This window comes from Homo sapiens, chromosome 12, assembly GCF_000001405.40.
Source record: "Homo sapiens chromosome 12, GRCh38.p14 Primary Assembly".
NCBI lineage: Eukaryota > Metazoa > Chordata > Mammalia > Primates > Hominidae > Homo > Homo sapiens.
The window spans coordinates 119,685,685-119,702,145 of NC_000012.12; the positions used below are offsets into that span (position 1 = coordinate 119,685,685).

The 16,461-nt window shown below is 47.7% G+C and overlaps 1 protein-coding gene across 15 annotated transcripts in view, besides 1 other annotated feature; it reads right to left on the bottom strand.

The window, feature by feature from the left end:
- Positions 107-16,461, bottom strand: part of CIT (citron rho-interacting serine/threonine kinase) — a 191,530-nt gene continuing 175,175 nt past the window's right edge. For 9 of the 15 annotated variants that reach the window (XM_011537787.2, NM_007174.3, XM_006719206.3 and 6 more), the window contains 7 exons: positions 16,166-16,274; positions 15,940-16,068; positions 15,061-15,141; positions 12,292-12,370; positions 11,975-12,154; positions 4,467-4,770; positions 107-2,571 (listed from right to left, as the gene is read on the bottom strand). In XM_011537787.2, coding sequence (XP_011536089.1) covers positions 2,548-2,571; positions 4,467-4,770; positions 11,975-12,154; positions 12,292-12,370; positions 15,061-15,141; positions 15,940-16,068; positions 16,166-16,274 — 906 coding nt within the window. In that variant the 3' untranslated portion in view covers positions 107-2,547. The remainder of the gene's footprint in view (positions 2,572-4,466; positions 4,771-11,974; positions 12,155-12,291; positions 12,371-15,060; positions 15,142-15,939; positions 16,069-16,165; positions 16,275-16,461) is intronic. The other 6 variants (XM_011537788.2, XM_047428134.1, XM_017018737.2 and 3 more) reach the window with 1 other exon arrangement.
- Positions 2,066-2,936: an enhancer, noted in NCBI's record as "H3K4me1 hESC enhancer chr12:120125555-120126425 (GRCh37/hg19 assembly coordinates)". NCBI's record gives its function as "activates a minimal SCP1, AML or CMV promoter by ChIP-STARR-seq in primed H9 embryonic stem cells {active_cell/tissue: H9 hESC(primed)}" and the evidence as "EXISTENCE:reporter gene assay evidence [ECO:0000049][PMID:30033119]".

Consider the following 16,461-nt stretch of genomic DNA (forward strand, 5'->3'; position numbering starts at 1 on the left):
TAAAGAAGGTCCCATCCATGATAATACACCTACACTGACACGCTGGTGATAGTTTTTCTTTCACAGTCTCTCAAAAAAAGAAGAGGTCATTGCACTAAAGCACACATTAGTTTAGATCATTGCTTTATTTCACTAATTGTTCAACAACAAAGTTCATTCCTCTCAAGGTGGATCTTGAATCATTCCTTGTGTTCTCTTCCTCGTTCTGAATAAAAAAGGTAATGAAGAAAAAGCCTGTACTTTTGGAGACCTAGAATCTTGATTGATGCTAATAAGCTTTTGACAGCAATTTCGTGTTACGGTATATCCTGCTGGCATCTTGGTGGTCACACGGAGCTCCCCACCCTCCAGTGAAGATGGCTGTCCACAACTACCACCATTGAAACCAAAAGTAAGTGTTGAAAAATGCACCTTTTACAATAAAAAAGTAGAAACCAATTCAATTTCCTCTTTTTTTTTTTACGAATATAAAGTTTCTTGTAAATATGTACAGTCTTTTGAGCTAGTTCTATATAGCAGAAAGCAGTTCACAGATGAGACACACAATATACATTTTCAGGGCTCAAGAAGCCCATTTCTCATGGAGATCCTAAATGAAATGCCAAGACTGAAAGACCCATTTTCAGTGACCTTTCCAAATACTGTGGACCAAGAGACAAAACTTCAGCAAACATTCAATCAAATCTGCCCTGGGGACGGGAGGGGAGGGAGTACGACCCCACAGACTCCAAGCAACACATAAAACGCCACAGCAGGACATTTGCCAAAGGAGCTACCACATGGAGGTTTGTAGGCGTTTCAAACAAGAAAGCACTTAGGTTAAGACACGAGCAGGAAGGAGCTGGGATGCAGGCCAGGTTGCAATCTGGAAAGGGATCTGAACTGTGGACACAGTTGAAAACACGGTCATGTTCACCTGCTGCGGTGGAAACGGGTCTACCTTTGAGCCTACCTAGGAGGTGCCTGGGTTGTTGAGGCGGGCCTAAGAGTCGTGGAGGACCCAAAGCAACAGATGCCTTGTGGGAGATTAAAGGCAGAAATAAGGCCGCGAGTTAGCTTGCCAACTGCAAAGCCTCTAGGTTGGTTCTGTACCAGTTGCCAGGAATTTCGTACTCTAATAGGAGGGTCCGCAGACCCAGTGGGAGCCGCACTGCACCTAAGGACTTCCCAACCCTGGCGGAGCTGGAAGAGTTGAGCTGCGGCTGCTTTCTCAAACTTCCTGGTCTTAGGTCTAGCCCTAGGGAAAGGCTCATTTGGAAAGTCACAGTTTCGTGGGGTAGAACCGCGCTGGATTGGGTGTGAACAGAGTCATCCTCTGCAGGCAGGGAAGTGTGAAGTTTGGAGGGGACACTGAGTGGGAGGTGGTGGTTTGCTGAAATCCTTCTCTGGTCGTAAGGCTTGAGCGTTTTGTTTTTTGTTTGTTCAGTGCTACAGACTGCAGCTTGTGGTGGCCAGTTAGTCGGCAAGTCGTCAGAGGGTCTCGATTTGGCAGGAGCTATGGGATGGTATTAATACATTGGCAGAGCAACCCAAGGGGGCAGCACATGCAGTGAACTGCCATGCAGAACTCCCGACGGGCCTCTTCCCCATCCCAGAGTGGGGAACAACACGCCGTCACAGACAAGGAAGTGGGTGCCCCCGTCCCCTCCCCGACCCCGAGACCCAGGAGTGCTGGGCTCCGAGCAAGTCTATTGCATGCTTTCCTGGCCAAAGCTATATGGAAAGCGGGAACAGCAGGCTGGGGAGATGACGCTGGGGGGTGGGGAAGGAAAGCGTCTCGAGGTCCCTTGGCCCCAAGTCACTGCCTCCGAGCTGAGGCCCCGATGACCTCCATACATTCTCAGCTGGTGGGAGGGGAAGTCGTCAAGGCCATAAAAGGCAATGAAAACAGTAAACATTTGGCTACGATGTCACCCTGGGGAAAGCAGGGCCATCTATGAGAATGAACAGGAACAAGGATGAACCTACTTGGCTGCGGGAGGTTGGCCAACTGACCGGGACTGTTCTACACTATGCCTCGGTGGCAAAGACCTGATGATGTGGTCGAGCTAAAAATGACTACAACAGGAAATACGTCGCTATTCAAATCTATTAAGAATTCTGTTGTCTTAAAAAAAAAAAAAAAAAAAGGAAAGAAACAAAGAGAAAAAAAAAAGAAAAACCAACCAATCCTAGGATCTTAAAGTAGCTAATTAGGATTCTAACCATGTTGTAGTTAGCATCCCGGTTGGTTTCCTTTGATGAACTAACTGGTACAGGCTAGAGCTAGGTACAAAAGTTTGTGAATGCTTTGAAAGAGTAACAAAGTGCAAAGAGATGACTGCAGGGAGGTGCCCAGGGCAGGCACCGGGCGCTGACAGCTCCGAAGAGCCTCAGCCACCTGCCCCTCCTGGAGACAGGGGTGTCCGTGCCGAGGTGGGTCTGGGCCCCGCTGAGCCAGAGGGTGGCTGAGCACGTGGGCGCTTGGGTCCCCATCAGCAGAGTTCCATAGTGTGTTTGGTGTTTTCCTGCAGATCAAGATGAGGAGTTGGTTTTTCTGGCTGAGATTTATACTGAAGACTGGTCCCAGACCTAGGAGTGAAATAAGGAGGAGTGTTAGCCATCCGAGGCCAGAAGTTGCTGTGCTCACCTTGCATGATGCAAATGGGAATCTGCAGCCCCTGGGCTATCCCCTTCAGCAGCTAGCAGTGAGTGCTTGGCAGGGCAGCACCCGCTCCAGAGCCTGGGGAAGCCAGGGAGTGAAACTCACTGGAAAATCCCAAAGCCGTGTGTGTACCTGCGATGCTGTAAGCATGTGATACACACACATGCACATACACAGTTTCATCGGTCAATTGGGAGGGATAAGAAGCCATATGGATGGTGTTTCCTTCTTTCTTTACCAGCAGGTGAACTGCAGGTGGCATCAGAAGGAGAATGCCACCCAGAAAATCAGCCCCAAATGGCAGAAAGGTGGCTCCTTGACCTGCTTAGCCTGCTAAGGAGGCACCAAGCACTTGAGCCATGCCCTGCCTGGGGGAGCCCCTGGTCTTCCACACCCATCCCTCTCCTCGATCGCAAACCTAAAATTACACAGATCATTCATGCACATGATTTAAACATTTCCAAAAGTTCAAAGTTCTTCTGGAAGGCAACCACTGTGAACACTTTCTGTGTAGCCTTCCAGAAAAACAATTTATATATACACATGTGTGGGCTGAGCGTGGTGACTCACGCCTGTAATCCCAGCATTTTGGGAGGCCAAGGTGGGAGGATTGCTTGAGCCCAGGAGTTCAAGACCAGCCTGGGCAACATAGCGACATTATGTCTCTAAAAAAAATAAAAAGGGCCGGGGGTGGGGGTGGGAATCAGACAGATGGTGGCTTGAGCCTGTAGTCGCAGCTATTCAGGAGGCTGAGGCTGGAGGATCACTTGAGCCCAGAAGTTCAAGGCCGTGGTGAGCTATGATCACACCACTGCACTCCAGCCTGGGCAACATAGTAAGACCCTGTCTCTAAAACAAAACAAAACAAACAAACAAACAAACAAACAAAAAGTGGGGGAAAAAGTTAGCCAGACATGGTAGCTACAGCCCATATTCCCAGCTACTCAGGAGGCTGAAGTGAGAGGATCACTTGAGCCCAGGAGTTTGAGGCTGCCGTGAGCTATAATCACGCCACTGCACTCCAGCCTGGGGTAACAGAGCAAGACGCTGTCTCTCAAAAGAAAAAAAAAAAAAGAAAAGCATATGTGTGTATGTGTGTGAATCTATATCTATGTTTGAAAAAAGCATGCAACATTTCATATAGGATGCTATCATTTGGGTTTCAAAAGGAGAGCACACATATATATTTGCTGGTACGCACAGAATATCTCTAGAAACTGCTACCACTTGCCTCTGGAGAAGGGAAAACATTTTTTGGTAGCTATTATATTTTGAGTTACATGCATACATATTTTCCTTTTCAATTACACACACGTTATCCATTTGCTTAGGAAGCTCTTTTTTTTTTTTTTTTTTTTTTTTTTTTTAAGACAGAGTCTCGCTCTGTCACCCAGGCTGGAGTGCAGTGGCGCGATCTCGGCTCACTGCAAGCTCCGCCCTCCGGGTTCACGCCATTCTCCCGCCTCAGCCTCCCAAGTAGCTGGGACTACAGGCACCAGCCACCACACCCGGCTAATTTTTTGTATTTTTTTCGTAGAGACGGGGTTTCACCACATTAGCCAGGATGGTCTCGATTTCCTGACCTCGTGATCCACCCGCCTCGGCCTCCCAAAGTGCTGGGATTGCAGGCGTGAGCCACCACGCCCGGCCAGGAAGCTATTTCTTAAGGTACATTTTCTTCCTAAATTCCTGTGTCTCGCAAAGTCTGAATTACAGTCATGGAGTTCCTTTTTTAAACAACAGTGGCCCCGTGGGGGCCTCAGTTCCCCAAGTCACTCCTGGCCTCCGCAACAGACACACAGGCCTCGGAATGCTGCCTCACCTTGTTCACCTGGGACAGCGGGGTCCTCACGGCTCCCGCAGGCAGCCGGCCCCTGCTGCTGTCTTCAAACAGCCTCCCGGGGGACCGCTCTCTCCGCGTGCTGAGCATCCGGCCGGGGGACTTCTCTCGCTCCAGGGGGCGGCCAGGAGACTTGTCCCTGCGCAGCTCGGTCCGCCCCTCGCGGTAGCGGTGGGGTGTGCTTGGCTCTCGCGGGTGGCTGGGGCCTTCGGGCGGCGCTGGGCTGGAGGCCACGCGCTTGGTGATGTGCTCGTTGTACGTGGGTGGGCCTCGCTTGTTGGGGCTGCTGGCGACACAAGAGGAACGTAGGGAGCTGCGAGGCCACAACCCCAGAGGGGCATTTTCCTTCTTACCTGAGCAACCCCCTCCTTGACCCAGCCTCACCACTGATTATCAAGAGATTAGACCTGGAGTTCTTTGGACTTTGCCTGCATTTGATTTTGGTAGCAAAGACAGGGAAGAGAGCAAAGATGGCAACAAAAGACAACCCACCTTCCTCAGTGCAGGCTTTCATTTACTGAGCACCTACTGTGTGCCAGGCCTGTGCTAAGTTCTTCATCTGCCATCTCTCATTATCTCATTAAATCATCACAGCAGCTCCTGAGCTATGAACAAGCATGACCCTCACTGTACAGGCAAGAAAATGGGGACAGACAGGAGTTAGGTGACTTGCCTGAGCTAATGAGTGGTAGAGCTGGGATTCCAATAAAGACCAGTTTGATAGGCCAGGCGCAGTGGCGCACACCTGTAATCCCAGCACTTTGGGAGGCCGAGGCAGGTAGATCACGAGGTCAGGAGATCGAGGCCAGCCTGGCCAACATGGTGAAACCCCGTCTCTACTAAAAATACAAAAATTAGCCGGGCGTGTTGGCGTGTGCCTGTAGTCCCAGCTACTCAGGAGGCTGAGGCAGGAGAATTGCTTGAACTGGGGAGGCGGAGGTTGCAGTGAGCCAAGATCGGACCACTGCACTCCAGCCTAAGTGACAGAGCAAGACTCCGTCTCAAAAAAAAAAAAAAAAAAAAAAGACCAGTTTGATGTCATAAGCCCCATATAATATCCTACTGACCTACTATTTCCCAGAGCCTAGAAGGCACAGAAGGAAGTCATCAACTAGGAGGTCAGCCTACTAAGACCCAGAAGTCAGGGACCCACAAAGGCCCTCAGTGCAAGGAAGCAGTTTGGAGAAACCCTGTACTGATCACTGTTAACTGCCATGTCTGTCCCACTCCTGGGCCTCGTGTTTGGTCACCTCTGCCCCCATGTGGCTTTCCAAGAGTCTCTGACACCTGATGCAAATGCAGATGCTCAGAAGGTGGATGGTTCTCAGTCATGACAATAAGACGACCGAGAGGTGTAGGGATCAGGCCTGATAGAGTCAGGAAACTGAGCAGGGCAGACAAAGTAAAGCGGGCTCAGAAAACGTCCCAGGCCTCAAAGGTTGATAATTAGTAACCAAGCAGTTGAAAACACTGCGGCCTTTTTGTACAACCCAACCCAATCCTCCACCCACTCCTGGCCTGGATATTTCAAATGAAGATTTCAGCAGACCCAGGGGCCAAACTCCCTCTCTGAAGATGTAGTAAGACCTACAAACACAGAGAGAACTGAAATGTGGCCTTCTGAGTCAATTCTTTCCCACCCTTGATCAGCTCTAAAAGTACTAGGGTCCCTATTATCTCAGCATAATTTGTGCTTGGAAAAGGCCCTACTTAAAATGGAGGAAAAAAATTACAGTGAATATTACTTGAAAACATATTTTGTTTGATTGAGGCTTTATCTTGGAATATAAACTTATTTTATGCTAGATATTTTTAGTATTTAAATTACAATGCAATTACATGCTGATTCCAAAAATGAACCAAGCATGAATCACAGAATGATTTGTTTTGTGCTAATTGTCTCAACAAAATTGCTGCTAACATGCTCTGACACCAACGTTGGACACATTGGACTTTTGCAGTGGATCCTAAAGAAGGCTCTTCAAAAATATTTGAAAAAGCCGGGCACAGTGATGCATGCCTGTAGTCCTAGCTATTAGGAAGGCTAAGGAAGGAGAATTGCTTGAGCCCAGGAGTTCAAGACCAGCCCGGGCAATATGGCAAGACCCCGCTTCTAAAAAACTAAAACTAAAAATTAAAACAAGAAAAGTGTTTTCCCAAAGGACTATCTTAATCCTTGATATTTAAATCCTTCTCATTGGAAGAGGCTATAATTTTATCAACTTGTTCATTTCTTTCTTCAATTATTGGTCTAACTGTATCAGAACCTCTTCTGTCAACGTCCATAATTGAGAAGCGACAGCAAAGACAGTGTTTATTGTGGAAGGAGAGACTCTAGAACAGGCTTGAGGGCCAAATCCGGAAGATGCTTGTTTTTATAAATACAGTTTTATTGGAATGAAGCCATGCCCATCTGGTTATGCATTGTCTTACAGCTGCTTCCGCATGACCACAACAGGGTTGAGCAGCTGAGACAGAGACCATATGGCTCACAAAGCCGAAAATATTTACCATCTAAACCTGTGCAGAAAAAGTTTGCCAATTCCTCCTCTACAATATAACAGAGAAGTTGGTGTGCAGAGATAATTTCATAAGGGCTCAGTTCATAGTGAATAGTTTCATGCCATGCTCTTGCTTTCCCATGCAACTGTAACGTTTGGAGATTCAGACAACGAATGCTCAGAAGGCCAGAACCCCTGTCTCTGCAGCAGTAAGATTTAAGATAACTCAGATTTCAACATCTTGAAATCAAGGTTTATATTCATCTCTAGCCATATGGCTTTGAAATCTGGAAGACAAACAAAAAAATAAATTCCGAGTAGGAGAACTACATTAAGCCTACTTGTAATGGAAAAGAAATGATAAGATGTGTCCACAAGAAACTATCATAAAACAAATGAGAGGGTGCTCACTGGCCAGGGGAAGAAGGATTGCTCAAGGGAAGGCCATTCAGGACGTCAGCTGAGATTAACGGGAGGAAGGAACACACCCGTCATTCCAAGCCAAGTGGGCAGTCTTCCATCTCCTTATCCATTAATGACCCATAATCTACCACATCAATTTTATGGTTTTTTGGCAAGGAGTTACGTTTCCTGCTCTGCTAAACAGACCAGGGCAACGAAGCCTGCAGTGAATCAGACCCAGAAAGCCAACCTTCTACATTCTCAACTGCCCAAAGAAGTCAGCGACCAAAAGATCATTCTATAAGCCAAGAGATAACCAACTACTGATTTTCCAGACATGCCACAGGAAAGCAAACACTTTTCTGCCCCTCGTTCTCAGGAACTGGAACTGTTTTGATCGCACAGTAAGCAACTCCTTTGAGAGACTATATAATCTCAAAAGCAAGGTGCCTGGCCACCTATCCAGTGAGGCAACGGAGGAAAAAAATCTAATTACAATATTTCAATGTGTTTCTGGCATGACTTGGGAACTACTTAAAAAAGATCTAGACATTTTCAGGGGAGGACTGTGGTGCACTGAGCAGTCACTCTTGAAGCAGGGCCAAGCCAAGAGTTAGGAGCATTTAATTATTGGCACTTCTGGTTTTTCAGCAAGTTCCTCAGGTTAAAACCACACTAACCAAACATTTCAGATTAATTAACTCCTATACATCAACAAAAGAGAGATTATTCATTAGGACAGTCTTGCCCAAGATCTTGGTATTTTGTAATATTAGTTGTGGTTCTTCCACCAAATTATGGGCTCCTGGAATATAAGAACATGCTTTCTACATCTCTGTATCCCCAGCCATAGACATTATGTCGGGCACATGGTATGGAGTCCACATAACTATTTAGAAGGTAGACACACCTTATAATAATCCAGAAGATTATCTTAGGTCATTTATTCCCGGGGTTAAATAATCTCAGACCTTCTTTGCAGGCCAAGGTTTCAAACTTCCTACACCTCGAGCTGGATCTAGCTCCTAGCACTGTGTCAAGACGAGGCCAGTCCCACTTCCACACGCAGCTGGTGGGATGGCAAATGGGAGAAGCCTTCAGGGCAGAAAACTCCACACTGTCCATCAGATTTACAAATCCACATCAGCCATCACCCATTCACCCACACTTTTCTAGGAATTTATCCTACAGATAGATTCCTCAGCATGTAAAATGACGTAAGGAGAAAGTCATTTATTGCAGCAACAGATTGGAGACAACTCGAACAGCCATTAATGAAGAAGCAGTTAAACCAATTAAGGTACAGCCCTGATAAGGAAGGTTGTGCAGGCATCTGGGGAGAAATGAATGAATAACTACTTCTCACACTGACACGGAGCAATCGCCAAGACACATCAAGGTACAGGAGAGTATGCAGAATATGCTGCCACTTGTATTAAAAAGGAGGGGTGGTTGCGTGTAGTGGCTCACACCTGTAATCCCAGCACTTTGGGGGGCCAGGGCAGGCAAATTGCTTGAGCCCAGGAGTTCAAGACCAGCCTGGGCAATGTGGTAAAACCCTGTCTCTACAAAAAATACAAAAATTAGCCAGGTGTGGTGGCGGGCGCCTGTAGTCCCAGCTACTCGGGGGGAGGCTGAAGTCGGGGGCTCTCTTGAGCCCAGGAGGCGGAGGTTGCAGTGAGCCGAGATCACGCCACTGTGCTCCAGCCTGGGCACAGAGTGAGACCCTACCTCGAAAAAAAATAAATAAATAAAAATAAAAAATAAATAAACAAGGAGGGGAAGGGCACTTCCAGAATGCCAGACTAAGGACCTCTCACAACCTGTTTCTCCATAAAAGCAACAAGATCACTGGCAGTTGTCAAAATCAACTTTTCAGAGCTCTAGAAATTAACCCTAGCCCTTTGCGCGGCCACTCTCGAGGCAGGGTCAAACCAAAAGAGTCAGGAGCACGTGGGTATTTGGCACCTCTGCTTTTCCAGCAAGTTCCTGGGATCAAAACCACACTGAACAAGCATGTTGCAAAAAAGGCCTGCAACAATTCAAAGAGTGTTTATGCAAGAAAAACAAAGGAATCTCAGCAAGAACCGAATGTTTTGTGACATTCAACTTGCCCCATACCCACTCCCCTCTCCCCAGATCTGTGGAAGAGTTGAAACCAATGTCCTTGGAACCACAGTAGCTGTGAAAACCAGCAGTCTAGTAGCCACTAGAGGGAGCAGATCAGGATTGAAGCTCCCCAAAAAGCCCCATCCCCAGAAAACTGTTGCTATCTGACCTGCCTAGCGACGCTCCGTGGAAAAGACCCATTCTCAGGGCAGTGGATCTGACTGTACATTTGGTTGTACAGTTGTCCCTTGGTGGCCTGGGGGACTGCTTCCAGGACTTCCTGTGGGTACCAAAATCTATGGATGTTCACATCTCTTATATTAAATGGTGTAGGACCAGACACAGTGCTTCAAGCCTATAAACCTAGCACTTTGGGAGGCCAAGGCGGGCAGATCACTTGAGCCCAGGAGTTTGAGACCAGCCTGGGCAACATGGTAAAACTCCATCTCTACAAAAAATACAAAAATTAGCTGGGTGTGGTGGCACACACCTGTAATCCCAGCTGCTCATCAGGCTGAGGTAGGAGGATCACCTGAGCCCAGAGGTCGAGGCTGCAGTGAGCTGGTACCACTGCATTCCAGCTTAGATGACAGAGACCCTGTCCCAAAAAAAAAGTAGGGGGAGTGTATTTGCATATAACCTACACACATCCTGTTGTACACTTTAAATCATCTCTAGATTACTTATAACACCTAATACAATGTAAATGCTCTGTAAATAGCTGTTATACTATATTGTTTAGGGAATAATGACAATTTGTAAAAGCTTGAACATGTGCAGTACAAACACAATTATTTTTTCAAATATTTTCAATCCATGGTTTATTGAATCTACAGAGGCATAACCTATAGACAGAGAGGGCTGGCTGTATTGGCATAAAGGATCCCTAAACGGAAACACAAAAACTTCAAAAAATTGGTTCCTTCCCAGGTGGGGACCTGGGGAGAGGGAGTGAGGAGAGTTAGGAGGCAAGAGAGACCCAGAAGAGAGGCTCTGTACTGTACACCTTTCTTATCCTTTGAATTCTGTGCCCTGTGGTTAGATTATCAATTCAAAAAGAAGTAAAATTTAAAAAGAATGCCTTTTAAGAAGAGGCCTTTTTTTGGAACATGCTTGTTCAATGTGGTTTTGATCCCAGGAACTTGCTGGAAAAGCAGAGGTGCCAAATACCCATGTGCTCCTGACTCTTTTGGTTTGACTCTGCCTTGACAGAGACCACTCAGAGGGCTAGGGTTAATTTCCAGAGCTCTGAAAAGTTGATTTTGATAATTGCCAGTGGTCCCGTTGCCTTTATGGAGAAACAGGTTATCAGAGGTCCTTACTCTGAAATTCTGGAAGTGCCCTTCCCATCCTTTTTTGATTTTGAGATAGGGTCTCACTCTGTGCCCAGGCTGGAGTACAGTGGTGTGATCTCAGCTCACGGCAACCTCCGCCTCAAGGGCTCAAGCAGTCCCCGCCACCTCAGCCTCCAGAGTAGCCGGGATTACAGGCACACACCACCACACCTGGCTAATTTTTGTATTTTTTGTAGAGATAGGGTTTTACCACATTGCCCAGGCTGGTCTTGAACTCCTGGGCTCAAGTGATCTGCCAGCCCTCACCTCCCAAAGTGCTGGGATTACAGGTGTGAGCCACCGCACCACCTCCCCTCCTTTTTAATACAAGTGGCAGCATATCTGCATACTCTCCTGTACCTTGATGTGTCTTGGCGATTGCTCCATGTCAGTGTGAGTTCTTCATTCTTTTCCCCAGATGCCTGCACAACATTCCTTCCCAGGGCTGTACTTTAATTTATTTAACTGCTTCTTTATCAATGGCTGTTTGAGTCCAATCCTGTTCAGGAGGTCTCGCATTCCAGGGAAGGCACGAGGCTGGCCAGGAGTCCCTGACCTGCTCTCACGACCTCACATCTCTGGACCTCCAGGCATGGCTTGCCTTCCCTCCTGCCTGAGCACCCCTCACTGGTCTCCCTGCCCCCACCTCGTATCTGATGGGAAATCCTCCCTCACCTCCACGTCCAGGCTTTCAACCACCCCACCAGGGCCTCATCCTTCCATGCCTTAATCTCTGATTGCCAGCATCTCTCCCACTGGGCTGTGAGTGCCATCAGGGAGGGGCTACATCTGCTTTATTCACCATTCTCCCTCCCCCACAAGCCCAACAACTAGCACCGCAGAATACCTGCTAAAGCAATAAATGCCTAATTTGTGCTCCATTTCTCACCAAGCCAATGAAAATACCCAGGAGAGAAAGATCAGACCTCTCCCCTCTGACTTTTGCAAGGTGGTATTTTCTAATTCTCCTGATGCTCATAATGGTCTGTGTTATTTCAGTGCCGCAGATCGCAAACAAATGAATGGTTTGAGCTTAAGAACAAAGTGAAGATTGGGAAACATTCTACTGGTTTAGTATCACTTCCTTCTGCCTTGCAGAAAAGCACGTTGCCCCTGGTACTGAGGAAGAGGAGAAGCTGGTTACCTGCGGGAGGTGGACGGGCCCCGGTGGTGTTCAGTGCCGGACTCCTTCACGAGGTTTCCCTTGCAGCAAATGACCCTTAATTTATCCTGGTATGAGGACGCCAAGTAAATCGCTCCTGAGGAAATGGCAGGGCCCAGGTAGCGCGGGTTCGGGATGTCCAGGTACGCTCGGGCAGGGGTCCTGCAGAGTCCCAGAGTTCCAGTTACCTTCATTGCAGGCTACCTCCATTGCTAGGCAAGTTAGGAAGGAACATGCGGCCGGCCCCAACACCTACCCCAATAGCTGAAGTTTTCCACGCATGGGAGGACAATGCTTACCCTGCTGAGGAGCGTGCCTGGATCTCAATTACTTCGAGTGAGTTGAAGTGGGTCACAAACAGATAGGGTTCTCTGTAGGCTGTGTGATCACCATGCAGGCACAGTGTGGGCCAAAGAATGGTGAAAAGAGGGAAAATCAAAATCTGACTGCAATGCATTCTTTGACCCAGCAATCCTGTGTAAAGCAACTCACCCAACAAATACATATCTATGCGCCAGAACAGTCATGCATGTTCGAGGATATTCACTGCCGTGTGGTTTGTTACAGCAGAAGATGGAAAACAACTCAAGTGTACAGTGTAGGGATTGGCTAAATACATTATAATACATCTGGCTGGGCGTGGTGGCTCACGCCTGTAATCCCAGCACTTTGGGAGGCCAAGGCAGGTGGATCACCTGAAGTCAGGAGTTCGAGACCAGCCTGGCCTACATGGTGAAACCCCATCTCTACTAAAAATACAAAAATTAGCCAGGCATGGTGGTGTACACCTGTAATCCCAGCTACTCAGGAGGCTGAGGCGGGAGAATCACTTGAACCCAAGAGGCAGAGGTTGCAGTGAGCTGAGATGGCACCACTGCACTCCGACCTGGGCAACAGAGGGAGACTCTGTCTCAAAAAAAAAAAAAAAAAATTATAATACATCTATGGAATTCTGTGCAGCTGTAAACATGCATGAAAAGGCTCTCTTTGTACAGATATGAAAGAATGCCCAAGGTACACTGCTCAGTGCAAAAAGCAAGGTTCAGAATCATGTGGGAAGTATTCTGCCTTACTGATTTTTAAAAAGCTGGAAAAAAGAATATATATATTTTATGTGCTAGTATTTGCATAAAGTACTGGAAGGACAAGAAACTCATATGAGCTTTTTTTTCTTTGGAGGAATAGCGATGGAGAATTTGGGAGATGGACTCTCTGGGTGAGACTTTTCATTGTATACCTTTTAAAACTGATTGTAAACATCTTCAAAGAATTCAATTTTTAAAAAGACTAGGTTCGGGCTGGGCGCGGTGGCTCATGCCTGTAATCCCAGCACTTTGGGAGGCCGAGGCGGGTGGATCACCTGAGATCAGGAGTTCAAGACCAGCCTGGCCAACATGGTGAAACCCTGTCTCTACTAAACATAGAAAAAATTAGCCGGGTATGGTGACAGGCGCCTGTAATCCCAGCTACTTGGGAGGCTGAGGCAGGAGAATCACTTGAACCCGGGAGGTAGAGGTTGCAGTGAGCTGAGATTGTGCCATTGCCCTACAGCCTGGGCAACAAGAGTGAAAATCCGACTCAAAAAAAAAAAAAAAAAAAAGACTGGGTTCTATTTTAAAAAAAAGACTGGGTTCACAGCTATTTAGACATTGCTGGTCTTCTTAATACTCTATCTCTGCATGACAGTGTCACTGAAACTAGAGCACACAGGACTGGAAATATTTTCTGCCTTAAAGGGAAAAAGCACTATTATTCCTTGTGGCAAGACTTGGTATTAGACTTTTAAAGTCATGGGCTCTGGTATGCGTGCCCCGGTGCAGTTCCCTGGCCTTGAATCTGGGCTGACTCTGCGGTCTGCTCTAACCAGTAGAGCGTGGTGGAAGTGAGCACGCTTGCCAGCTTCCGCTTCTATATTCTTGGAAGAAGCCAGCGTGGAAAGCAACAAGGCCTCCAGCCACCAGCCGCAGCTAAGCGCCCACATTATGGCCAGCACTCATTGCGTGCCATGTTTGTGAGCCTGTCTTGGGCTTTCTAGTTGTCCCAGTGGCCCTGCTGATACCACATGAAGCAGAACTGTCCAGTCAAGCCACGGAGTTGGGGCCAATAATAAGCTGTTGTTTGAAGTCACTAAGCTTTCAGATGGCTTGTTATGCAGCAAGAGAGAAACAAAATAGCCTCGAAGGGTATCTGGGCCACGACGGCATTTCAGAACATTCACACAGATACGTATGTACATACTTGTATGTGTATGTGTGTTTAGTCTTTGATCCAACAGTTCCACTTTTAGGAGCTTATAATCAGGGGGTGCTATCTAACAAGTGCAAAAAGATTAGTACAAGGATGTTCATCGTAGTGTTGTTTACACTTACAAACAAAACGGGCATGGCCTTACTGCTTTGCCTAATTAGAACTGGTTAAGTGAACAGGTGTTCAGCTATGCCATGGGACACTCTGCAGCCTTTGGAAATGACTGAAATAAATCTACAGGAATTGGGCTCCTTTCTATCATGAGAGCCTAGCAAATATTTCCCAGGGCTGGGACTGTGGGCTGGTGAATCTGGCGTAGGCAGCTCTTCATCGAGCCTCAGAATCTTTCCATGAACAGTTCTCCGGGTGACTGTTACACATGGCACTTGGTATCTAATGGAATTCACATGCACAGTGCTTAGGCCAAAAAAGAAAAAAATTTCCACTTGCAATTGCGGTTTTTTTTGTTGTTTTTTTGAGACAGAGTCTCGCTTTGTCACCCAGGCTGGAGTGCAGTGGTGTGATCTCAGCTCACTGCAACCTCCGCCTCCTGGGTTCAAGCAATTCTCCTGCCTCAGCTTCCTGAGTAGCTGGGACTACAGGCACATGCCACCATGCCTGGCTAATTTTTGTATTTTTAGTAGAAATGGGGTTTCGCCATGTTGGTCAGGCTGGGCTCAAACTCCTGACCTCATGATCCACCCGCCTCGGCCTCCCAAAGTGTTGGGATTACAGGCGTGAGCCACCGCACCCGGATGCAATTCTTTTCCAGGACACCAGCTGCTGGCAAAAGAGAAGCCCCCACACTGAGCCTCACGTACCAAAGGCCAAAGGTAAGCGACTCCACTTGAGATCGTCTGTGCGGCTACGTCTTCCGTAAGAATCCACGAACACTCCAAATTCTGCAAGGTGTCAAGAGCACGTGGGCATTAGCACAGCCAAGAGCAGGGGCATCAGCGACACACATGGTGATGGAAGAATGAGGAGCAGAGCCCAGGGACCCCTGGCCAGATGGGACTGACTGTGAAAACCAGAGGCCCTCTGCTGAGCCAGCTCTCAGCTTTATTAAAAATGAGGGACTTTTTAAATTTAATTTATTTTAATTTATTAAATTTTATTAAAGAAAGAGAACTCAAGTGAAAAGAAGGAAAGGAATAAGAGGAGGAGAGGGAAAGAGAAAGAGACAGAGAGAGAGGGGAATGAAGCGATCCGGAGGAAGGAGGACAGACAGGGAAAGACGGAAAGACTCAGGAAAGAAGGGAAGGGGGAGGGGAGGGAGGGGATGGGGAGGGGGAGGGGAGGGAGGGGATGGGGAGGGGGAGGGGAGGACCCAAGAAAGAAAGAAAAGAAAGAATGCAACAAAGAAAAGGACAGATAGAAGGATGGAAAGGGAGGGGAAGGGAGGGGAGGACGAAATGAGGACAGAGTAAGAGAAAGGAAAGGGAGAGAAAGAAAGGCAAGGGATGGATGAGGAAAAAACTGCCTGCTCTTTGGAGAGAATGTGATAAAGTTAGACCACGCTAGTATCTGGTGATGGAGAGGAGCATCCCCAAGGGGACTTGGTGGTGCTGGAAGGACATTCTCTGTACCCCTAGTCAAACCTATCCTGCCCCAGAGCTCCATGTACCCTCCTCCAACCCCTCATGGGTCCCTAGTGTCCATGAGGACCCAAAAGGGCAGTGGGCGCAGCCACGACTCACCGTGGAAACACAGCAAGTACTCCTCTCGCTGCCCTGCGCTGTTCACCTGCACGATTGAGACAGGGAAGCTGTTGGAAGAGGCGGCAAACACAGCAGGTGCCAAGGAATGGTCATTCTTATCCAGGAATTCTGTAAAGGCAGGCGAGAAGCGGGGCTTCAGGAGTGAGTTCTGAGTCTCAGCGCGGCCTGAGCCATGGGTGGGTGCGAAAGTGGAGGTGGGTCCTACCCTCGAGCGTGTACTGCTTCATGTCGATTTCGTAGAATTTATTGGTTCCAATGAGGATACTGTAATTGGTGAAGTGGATACAGCTGCAGGGCTCTGAGGTCTCTATCTCCTGAGACATGAGAGCAGAAGAGAAGGATGTGAGAGGTAACACAGGGCAGCCAAGGTCCACAGCTGTTCTGCTTCTGCCTACAGCATCTAGCCAAGCCCTGGAGAACATTGTCACCAAGCTTGTTCACGTTGTCATAGAGAGCCATTCATCTTTTTTTTTTTTTGGAGACAAGATCTCGCTCTGTCAC